Here is an 11,510-nt window from a genome sequence, read left to right as displayed (position 1 = left end):
CAGTTTGTTGTTTATGGAACATTCCTGCAGTCCCCAGAAGGGGCATGGTAAGTGGACTAGACACCCAGTTTCGGGCATTACTCATCGGGCACCCAGACACTGGAACAGAGGTATGTAGCAGAAGCCCAGTTATCTAAACCCAGTCATAAAGGCAGAGATGGAGAAGCAAGAGTGGTTTGATGTGGAGTCTCAGTGTGTTGACTTAAGCCCTTAAACTCTTCTGGCTTCGATTCAGGTCTCTAAACTGGTTTTTAAGAGCTGGAGCAGGTCCGTCTGCATGTGGAGTCCAGGTCAAGGTCTACCATATGGGAGGCCAGTAGTGTCACTACAATTGTACAATTTGCACAAAAGCACCTGGCCAGGCTGAAACCTAGCCCAGGGCTCCTGTTCTCCAAACCACGTGTTTCACACAGCCTGTGTTGTCTCATCAACACCACCTTTTTGTAAATCTGAAAAGATTCCCTATGTGCCTGGGGTGACCTGCCAGGAGGCTCATTTGTCCCAGGACTCACAATTAGGCAGCTCCCTAAATTTATACTTCTGGAGATACCCCCAAGATATGTTATTCCTACAGTCAGAGAGATACTTAAGATTGAAAGCACGAAACTGGTTCATCGTTCACTTAAACCTATGCCCTATTGTAAGACAACCTATCACTTGTGGTGTAACATTTGTGTGAATCAGAAAAAGGCAGATACAGCCCTGCACCAGGTTTGGCAATTGTGAACCAGATTTTAATCCCCGCTCTTCCCCTTGGTCGACCTGCACAGTCATACCAGGTAGCTCTGCCTAGATGTCACTTTAAAAAATAAATCTGGAAACTATTTTGTAAATTGCAAGCTTATATTACACATATTTTTTGTTGTAGAGTGTTAATTGCTTTAATAATGAAAAATCACACAGTTTTTATAACTAAGTTTTAGCATATCTTCATTTAAAAATATACCAGGACTATTAAAAAAAATGGAAGTGGGCTTGGTCTCTCGCTCTCTCTTTCTCTCTCGCTTCACCTTTGAGAAGGCCCAGCCAAGGAAGAGCAGGGAAGGAGGCTGGAGCTGGAGGCTTGCAGGCTTGACACCTTCCACTCCAAATATTGGAGATAACTGAGGCTGCCTGTCATCTCTAATAATTTTTCCTCCAGGAAATGTCATTGCTTCATTGCATTGCAAGAAAATGATGTCATAGTATAGGGCCCTGATCCGTTTCCTGACTTTTAACCTGAGTCTCATAACCTTTTTCAACTGTACTGAACCCAGAGAAAATGAAACACATCGAAATGCGAAGACCAGCACATCTCATAAAGGCCTTTGAGGCCCCAGGGTGGGGTTAACTTATGCGTATATATTAATGATCAAAATACAGTCTTGTTTGGGTGTCACATCCTGGTTATGGCATGGACCCAGTACCTAGGAAATGGAAAGGAAATAGGCTTCAGGATGTGTCTGTAATTTCTTGGCAGAAACCCTTCCTCTTCCTATATTGGGTTTAATTAGTAGTGACAATGTTAAATTTAATTAGGATGTCTTGCTTGTGTTTTCTTCTGTTGGTGGTTTTTGTTGTTAAACTCCCTGTGAAAATCAAGAATGGTCCCTGAACTGATATTTGAAATCTTACATGCTGCATTTGTGTCTCCACATCTTAGGACTGGTTACAAGCCCAGCCCAAATGACATTATGGAGCTATTTCCTGGAATGTCAAGGGCTGAAATTGCCCTGTCAAGAATGAGTCTGTTCTTTCAGGGATTTCAGAAAGCAAGGGCTCAAATTGCATTCTTGCTCTGTTATTATAAGTTTTTCCTGGCAGGAAACCACTGGGTCTCAGAAAATTTGCATATATCCAATGAGAGTGATCTACTGTTCTATGGAGGTTTTCAAGATTGCATGACAACACCGTGGAAGAATCTCATATGGGAAAAGGGGATTTTTTTCCCCCTTTCCCTAAGCCCCATTTTAAATAGTTTCCTTCCCGCAAGCTGATGTGTCCACATTCAAAGAGTTATAAGTAACCCAGCCCATTTTCCTGCCTTGGCCTCTGCCACTGGTTCTATAATATCAACAGCCACACAAAACTGGAAGCAGGTTGTTTAAAGTAAAGATGCTTATTCCTTCCAGTCTGTGAAACAGACTTTTGTGGCATATGAAGGCAAGAAATAACCTTTTAGTTCTCCCAGGCAAGGGCACAGCAAAATGACTCTTCATTTCTTGTTAACTGTAAGGGCAAGAAATACCCCCACATATTTCATGATATCTGAATATAATTTTTAATGTTATACCTGGGATTTCGGTTAACCTAAAAGACATGGTACTGGACTACTTCACTTGGTACCATAAAAGTTTTGTATCTGTTTGTACTCCTCAGAATTGTGTACAAAAATATTAAAGTAATTCAGATAATATACTGACACATTTGAAGTCCCTACTTGTGTAATCACCAGACCCAGGACTAGATATTTTATTGCTCCATTAAAGTGACAAATAAACATGTGTTGACTGAAGAGCCAGGGGCTGGGAGGCACTTACAGGACTTCCAGACACCAATCACAGGACTTCCTTTTATGTCACAGGAATCCAGTGAAGAATGACTCAAGTAACTGCATCATGCTCACATTATTTGAGCATTCGTACCCATTATTGGGTGTTCTGGTTATTTATTTGCTTATATTTGCTTTCTTATTTATATCCCACTCTGTTCTGAAGAAATTTAAGGTGACCACTGGGCATTTTATCAAGAATTGGAGCTCAGGCTGCTAAGGCATCAATTGTAGGACCAGCTGTGTGCCTTTGAACATGTCACTTAGCCTCTCTGAATATCGGATTTTTCATCTGTAAAATGAAGGTATTTAACAGTTTCATGTCTAGAGTGTTATATGTAAACTTTTTTCTCAACTTGTTAATTATCAAACGCATGGACTCTATGTAGACTGTTACTCAAAGGCATCCAATAAATGCGTTGCATGACTCTATAACACTACACGCCGATTTTGAGTGCTCACAGTATGTTGGATTTTCTGCTCTGTGCTTTACCTATGGGGTATCATTGAATTCTGTCAGCACGCCTGTGAATTAGCTGCCCCCATCAGCTCCATCTGACCAGGAGAAAACTGAGGGGTTGCCCTAAGATCACAGAGGGCCAGGATCTGGGTTTCTGGGCCAGGGGTTCCTCATTCCAAAGCCCCACCCACTTTCTACTATAGGACATCTGTGCATCCCAGACTTTAGTGTGCATCATTGTCATCTGGAGTTCAACTTCCTAAACCAGATTGATGAGACCCAAGCCCACACTTTCCAGTTCATGCAAGTTCCCAGGTGATGCCGATGCTGCTGGTCTGGGGACCACAATCTGAGAACCACTGCATTATGCTATAAAGAACTACAGTTGCAGGACCAAGACATAAAGAATGTAAGAAGCAGATCTCTAACCAAATGAAGAAAGAACCTGGACATTTCGAGCTACTTAATAGCTGAATGGGTTGCCTCTTGGGAATGGCTGAACTGTAAGGGGCATATAGACCTTGGGACATTTGATGAGAAGTTGGCCTAACGGACCTTGAAGGTGCCTTCTAACTATTAAACTGTCATGAGTGCCAAAGACAAGAGACAGAGAGTCTAGGAGGGAGGGTCACACTCCCTATGCAGAAGGCCCTTCTCATTACGGCACAATTCAGTGTTTTAACTGTGCTTTGAAGATTTTGAGTCACTTTGGTAATGGCAATGAAGAAAAGCTGAGAAAAACGTTTCCTCAATTTAGGTAATACGGAATTACAGTTTAATGAAACACCACACAAGGAACAAGAGAAACTTCAAGACAACATTCATTCACTGTAAATTTATATTTCGAATTTTAAAATTTCTATAACGATAATAATATAATTTCAATTTTTATGTCATAATATATAAATCAGAAAAAAGTTAATTTTAAAAGGCTAACATGTAAAACTATTTAAATTTTTATTTTATAAGGACATAGAGGGAAAGAGTTTAAAGATCAAAATTATTTTGTAAATATTTCAAAATAAAGATCACATATAAGGCAAATTTAGGAGGAACACTGCTCCAAATTTACTGTCCATTCTTTTGACCCCAGGAAGAAAAAAAGAGACGTGTTTATTTCTATAGTTTATCAAAGAAAAGAAAGTGTCTCTTCTGACATTTAATTTAGCCTTTTTTTTAATGTCATAGGAACCCAGGGAAGGATGACTCAGACAACTGCATCATGGTCCTACTTAAGGATTTAAGAGGAATCAACAGAGAACAAAATTGGTGGTAGTGGTGACAGGGGGTGGCAGAAAGATATAAAAAAGAAATACATGTGTAATGAAATAATCTGGCATAATCATAAAACAGGAAAAGCCATCACTTTCGTGGATGCGCCTGTCTAAGGAAGCGGGAAAGCTCTCTGTTGAATACTCTTGTTGGTCATTTGCTGTTAGTTTTGTCTGGTTTGGATTGGGTTGGAGGTTTTCAAAAATTAACAGAAGGTTAAAGGGCACTATGCAAATTCTTTGATAGGGAGCCAAGAATTTAAATTTCATTAGGAGTGAGGGGGAGGAATATTTCTTGAGCACCTATCAATTGTATGCCCTGTGTCGGACTCTTATGAGAAATTATATCCTTTTCATTCTTGCAACGTGTGAGGTAGGGGTTATCTCCATTTTATAAATGGGGAACCTTAGGCTCAGAGAGGTTTGCTATCAGTTTGCTCAAGGCTAGTCAGATGATTAGTAACAGAAGAGATAATTAAACCTCAAACTGTCTGACTTCAGAAGTGCCACCGCACACCAGGTTCTCCATGTCTCATAAATAATGGTGAAAACAATTCTTCTCCGACAAACCACTGCTCTTTGGCATGGAAATGCAAATCCACTTTTTCTCTCTACCCTTTCTTGGAGAATTCTTAGATTCCATGGTACATTCCCTATGACATGTAAGTTGATTTTAGATTTGAAATACTCCTGCTGTAAGTTTAGGTAAGATTTAAGCTATGGCTAGGAAGACATAAAATGAAATGTAGTATTGCAATCTGCTACTCTTTTGACCCCCACACTCCCCGTCCGACCTTTCCTAGTCTCTTTTTTATTTTACACTGCACTTACCCTCTTCTAATATACTGTTTAATTTTTTATGTTTATTATTTATTCTGTGTTCTTCTGCTTGAAAATAGACTCCACATTTTTTGTCTGTTTTCTTCATAGATGCATATCAAGTTTCTAGAAAAGGGATCAGCAAACTTTTCTGTAATGGGCCACACGATGAATATTTTAGGTATTGTGAGCTATGCAACTTCTGTTGCAACTATTCACCTCTACCATTGTGGTGTTAAAGCAGCCATAGACAATATATAAACAAGTGATCATGGCTATGTTCTAATACAAGTTTATTTACAGGCACTGACATTTGAGTATGATATAATTTTCATGTGTCATAAAATTTTTAGTTTTTTCCCAATTATTTAAAAATATACAAACTATTTTTAGCTTGCAGGTCATATAAAAACAGGTGGATGGCAAGTTGGGGCCCTTGGGCTATAGTTAGTTTGCAAACCTCTGGTCTAGAAAATCATACCTGGTACCTATTACTAGTATGTGATCAGAAAATAGAATTTATTGAAGTTATTCCAATAATAAACATTATATCCCATTATCTACCTGAATCAGAGACTAGCTCACCATCCCAAGAAACAATAGGTAGCTCAGGCAGCACTCCAATGCATCCCTCATGTCTATGGGAATGGCTGCTGCTGCAGGGCAGGACTGAATTTACTAAGACACAAATTGTTTGACTAGACGAGACCTCTGAGAGTATCTGAATGGCACTTCTCAACTGCTGGTGGCCACACCCCTGGGAGACAGAGAAGACCTTTTACAAAAAAAGTTATTGCATCGTTAAAAGCTTTAGAATGTCTATTTTAATTTCAATTTAAACGTTAACAATAAATCAATTTGCTTTTGAAGAATCCTTTGGGGCCGGGTGCGGTGGCTCACACCTGTAATCCCAGCACTTTGGGAGGCTGAGGCAGACAGGTCATGAGGTCAGGAGTTCAAGACCAGCCTGACCAACACGGTGAAACCCCGTCTCTACTAAAAATACAAAAAATTAGCTGGGCATGGTGGCAGATGCCTGTAATCCCAGCTACTCAGGAGGTTGAGGCAGGAGAATCGCTTGAACCCGGGAGGTGGAGCTTGCAGTGAGCCGAGATCGCGCCACTGGACTCCAGCCTGGGCGACAGAGCCAGACACAATCTCAAAAAAAAAAAAAAAATTCTTTGGGAATATCAGGTGGGTGTTGGTTTATTTCTCATTTGAACATTGTTTTATACTACAACTGTTTTAAACTATCATCCATTTTTAATTGTCTTCTTTTCCTAATTCATATAATCATCATGGTATTTGTTTGTTTGTTTTGCAATGGAGTCTTACTCTCTGGCCCAGGCTGGAGTGCAGTGCTGTGATCTCGGCTCACTGTAACCTCTGCCTCCCGGTTCAAGTGATTCTCCTGCCTCAGCTTCCCGAATAGCTGGGAATGCAGGCATGCGCCACCATGTCCAGCTAATTTTCGTATTTTTAGTAGAGATGGGGCTTCACCATATTGACCAGGCTGGTCTCAAACTCTTGACCTCAAGTGATCCGCCCACCTTGGCCTCCCAAAGTGCTGGCATTACAGGTGTGAGCCCATAATGGTCTTTGGAAATAGACAGATGGTATGTGGAACACTGATGTTGAAAAACGAACATTGATGTTGAAACAAAAAGCATAAAAATGATAATAATTTTCCCAATGTTCTTCAAGATTATCTTCACCAAACCCCTATGTTGCATTCATCTGCTTAGCATTCGAAGTACATCAGAATGTATCTCATAGTTCTGTGTTAAAAAGAAAAAATAAGCTGGATGTGGTGGTACACACCTGTAGTCCCAGCTACTTGGGAGGCTGAGGACTGGATTGCTTAAGCCCAGGAGTTTGAAGCTGCAGTGAGCTATGATTATGCCACTGCCTTCCAGTCTGGGTGACAGAGCAAGACCCAGTCTCAAATATATGTGTATATATATATACACACACACATATATATATACACACATACATACTTATATAGGCATATATATATACACATACATGCATATATATTTATATTTATATAAGATTATATGTGATTTAGTTTTACTTTTTTTCTTTTCTTTTTTTTTTTTTTCCTTTTGAGATGGAGTCTTACTCTGTTGCCCAGTCTGGAGTGCAATGGCATGGTCTCAACTCACTGCAACCTCCACCTCCTGGGTTTCTGTACCTCAGATTCTCCTGCCTCAGCCTCCCGAGTAGCTGGGATTACAGGTGCTCACCACCATGCCCAGCTAATTTTTGTATTTTTAGTAGAGATGGGGTTTCTCCATGTTGGCCAGGCTGCTCTTGAACTCCTGACCTCAGTCAGGCCTCCCAAAGTGCTGGGATTACAGTCGTCAGTCACCGTGCCCGGCCTGATTCAGTTTTTCATTCATTGTCACTGAAGTCTAGCAATATCAGCAAGGTGCTATTCGCAAAGAAATGCCCACAAATACTAACTTGATACTTTTTCTCATATCCCTATTTGTTTATTTATAAAACAAATCAGATGTAATAATTACAAACCTTAAATCATATAATATATTTTAGTTGATTTTTGATTGAGTGTAACACATAGTTAAATGTAATTCTAAAGTTTAGTATACTTTGGCCTCCTAAAGTATACAAAATCCTAAACATAACACAATGTTAACTATAACATTTGTCCAAAAAATCATGTTTTTATGACATATTCAGTTTAATCTTAATTAAATAGAATGGTACTTGTTAAATGGAAAAAGTACAAATTTACCTAACTATATTATGAATATTATAAATATTATATTAAATTTTGTGTTACAATCTTTTAAAACAACTTTGTACCATAATAAAATGATGCAATTTTTTAGCTGAGAGTTTTTATGAGATTATTATTATGAAAGGGGCTTTAAACCACAGAATGATAGGAAATACTGGTCTAGTCCACTTTGTTTTATAGATGAGTTAACCAAGACCCTGAAAAGGAAGTGGATGGCTCAGTCCGTTAAAATTAAGCCTAGGCTTCTTGACCAACTAGCAAAGCTTCATATTACGTAACTCTAGGGGGCGCTGTTCAAATTGTTGTGGTGCCATTTTCATAGACTAATGAGATCGGTGGTCTCCGGAGTTGTGCAGTGCAATGGCCTTGGCTTTTAGTTACTCAATGCTTAATCTGTGAAAATCCCTGTTGTTAATCTTGCTTAGGTATTTTCCTGAAGTTTTCAATATATTATTTGCAAGACCTCTAAGTTCTTAATTTCTTTCTTCCAAACTGAGGCCCACATGAGAAAAGGCAATAAAGAAGCATTGGCAGCTGGGCGCGGTGGCTCACACCTGTAATTCCAGCACTTTGGGAGGCCGAGGCAGGTGGATCACGAGGTCAGGAGTTTGAGACCAGCCTGTGCAATATGGTGAAACCCCATCTCTACTAAAAAAAAAAAACAACACACAAAAATTAGCCAAGTGTGGTGGTGCGTGCCTGTAGTCCCATCTACTCGGGAGGCTGAGGCAGGAAAATCGTTTGAATCCAGCAGGCAGAGGTTGCAGCGAACCGAGATCACACCACTGCACTCCAGCCTGGGCAGCAGAGACTCCGTCTCAAAAAAAAAAAAAAAAAAAAAAAAAAAAAAAAAAAAGCATTAGTTCACTTGACAGTTAATCAGATTGTATTTTTCTTTTTAAATCAGGCCTTATGCTGGGGGCTACACATCAGAGTTGAACTGTCATGCTGTCTGCCCTCAAAAAGTTTGAAATTGGTCAAGAAGCAATATATCAAGAACATGATAAGGGTGTACTATTAGGGATCTGCCATAGACTGCAATGCTGGCACAAAGGAAGAAGTGATCTGTTCTGTCCGGGGATGGTTGAAAGAAGAAAAGCCTCACAGAGAAGGTAACACTGTTTGCCATGGGAGATTTAATAAAAGAAAAGCAGAAATTAGTTGTAAATAAAATTGGCCTAGATTAAAACTGTCTTATAGTCCACACCATTCAGTGCTAGATTTATTATAAATTCAAAGCAAGGTATCATTTGTATCCGATATGTGACCAGGATTAACTGGAGAGTATTCAGGAAAAGCTTCCGTACCTCTTTGTCTAGAGTGGTAGGCAGGAGGCCTCTAATTTCCTCTACTAAGTTCTTACAATGCCTTTTGATTAATGATGAGATGTGAAACTGAGTATTTACCCTCAGTGACAAGAGTGTGACCCGCATTAAATCCAATCACTTTGTCTGGGTCTCTTATAGGCCTGAAACTTTTAGCATCTTTCTGGGTTCCTCTCCTGTCCCATGTGCTGTTACCAAGTCCTGTGGAGTCTACCTTCTAAATGTCTCTCAAAGGTATCACCTCGGCTGGGCGCGGTGGCTCACTCCTGTAATCCCAGCACTTTGGGAGGCTGAGGCGGGCAGATCACGAGGTCAGGAGATCGAGACCATCCTGGCTAACACAGTGAAACCCTCTCTCTACTAAAAAATACAAAAAATTAGCCAGGCGTGGTGGCGGGCGCCTGTAGTCCCGGCTACTCTAGAGGCTGAGGCAGCAGAATGGCGTGAACCCGGGGGGCGCAGCTTGCAGTAAGCCAAGATTGCGCCACTGCACTCCAGCCTGGACGACAGAGCCAGACTCTGTCTCAAAAAAAAAAAAAAAAAAAAAAAAAGGTATCACCTCCTCTCCATACCCACTGTTGCTGACTAATTCAGATCCTGTTATTCTTCATCTGTTCTCTTGGTCCTCCTGGCCCAAGCCTCATTTCCCTTTAATCCCTGTAAGTCAATGGCAGGCAGGATGTGTCTTGCTCATATTTCTGTCTCTAACCTTTAGCTAGATATCAGGCACATAATATATACCCAATAAATGTTGAGGAGCAAGTATGAATAATAAATATTGTATTTAGGCTTTGGGTTCACAATCTGTGACACATGACAAGAGAAGAGTCATGCTCTAGTGAACAGAAGATACTCCTCTTGTCAAAGGCATTAATTTCAGTCCAGCACCTTGTAATTTCATTGCTCTATCAGCTTTTCTTTTCAGCTATCAAATTAGGTTTGTTATATGATGTAAGTGAGGAAAAACATTTAAAAACAATTTTTTGACCAGGCACGGTGGCTCAACTCCTGTAATCCCAGCACTTTGGGAGGCCAAGGCGGGCAGATCACGAGGTCAGGAGATCAAGACCATCCTGACCAACATGGTGAAACCCGTCTCTACTAAAAATGCAAAAATTAGCTGGGTGTGGTGGCATGCGCCTGCAATCCCAGCTACTTGGGAGGCAGAGGCAGGAGAATTGCTTGAACCCAGGAGGCAGAGATTGCAGTGAACTGAGATCATGCCACTGCACTCCAGCCTGGCTACTCCATCTCAAAAAAATAAAAGATTTTTTTTTGTAAATAAACTGAAATTTTATACGTAAATAATATAAAAGGTTTTTTTTAGGACTGCAATTAGCTTGTTATGACAGATTGAATATTGAGCAAAGAAAGATGCTGCCCTAAAGTGGTTAAAGTGATCTGGGAATCTGTGATAGCTCTCACATGAGTAACATTCCCAGCACGTACTGTGTCTTGAGCTAACATAGCAACACGGTGATGTGGTCAACACCAGGGACACATCAGTGTGGCTTAGGACAGGTAGAGAGCCAGCTGTTCCATTCTTTAAAAATTATCTTTTTCACTTGCTTTATGTAGTACCTCCTTGATGCTAATCTACTCAAATGGAATGAAGTTTCATTTCAAAGTCACGGATTAGGACAGATCTGGAAAGGTCCTTGGAGGTTGGCTGGGGTCTGAGAGATGAGGAAGCTCAAGTCCCTGATACCTGATTTGTGCAGCAATGAGCTGCCAGCTTGTCTACATAGTCCCTTCTGGCTTCTCTGGCCAGTCTGGGAGGGGAAGTGTCATTGTGTCATTCCTCACCCCACACCCCGCCATTGTTTTCACCCTAATTACTTCCTCTGTTTCTCTCTCTTCTTTCCTATGGGAAAACCCAGACATCCAGCAATAGGCCTCAAGTCTTCTCCTCTTTAATTAGTAAAATTTACAGTATCAAACCAACATTGTTACATTCTAAAAGGTATTGTACTCACATGTTAGCACCATTGTAACCATTCAGATATATCATCAATATACATGCCATTTTCTCTGCATTCTTTCATGGCTATAGAAAATGGAGACTTCTGCTTTTTACTCAAGTTTCTGCTCTTGTATAAAACAAACGCTTTTTATTTGTTTCAAATATATTTAGTTGTTTTAAATATGTTATATTTAATATCTATTCAAAAACATATTTATGGCCAGGCGTGGCCGTTCACGCCTGTAATCCCAGCCCTTTGGGAGGCCAAGGCAGGTGGATCACCTGAGGTCAGGAGTTCGAGACCAGCCTGGCCAACATGGTGAAACCCCGTCTCTACTAAAAATACAAAAATTAGCTGGGCATGACGGTGCATGC

Source organism: Homo sapiens, chromosome 3 (assembly GCF_000001405.40).
Source record: "Homo sapiens chromosome 3, GRCh38.p14 Primary Assembly".
In the NCBI taxonomy this organism is placed as follows: Eukaryota; Metazoa; Chordata; class Mammalia; order Primates; family Hominidae; genus Homo; species Homo sapiens.
Note: the sequence above shows the minus strand (reverse complement) of the source record.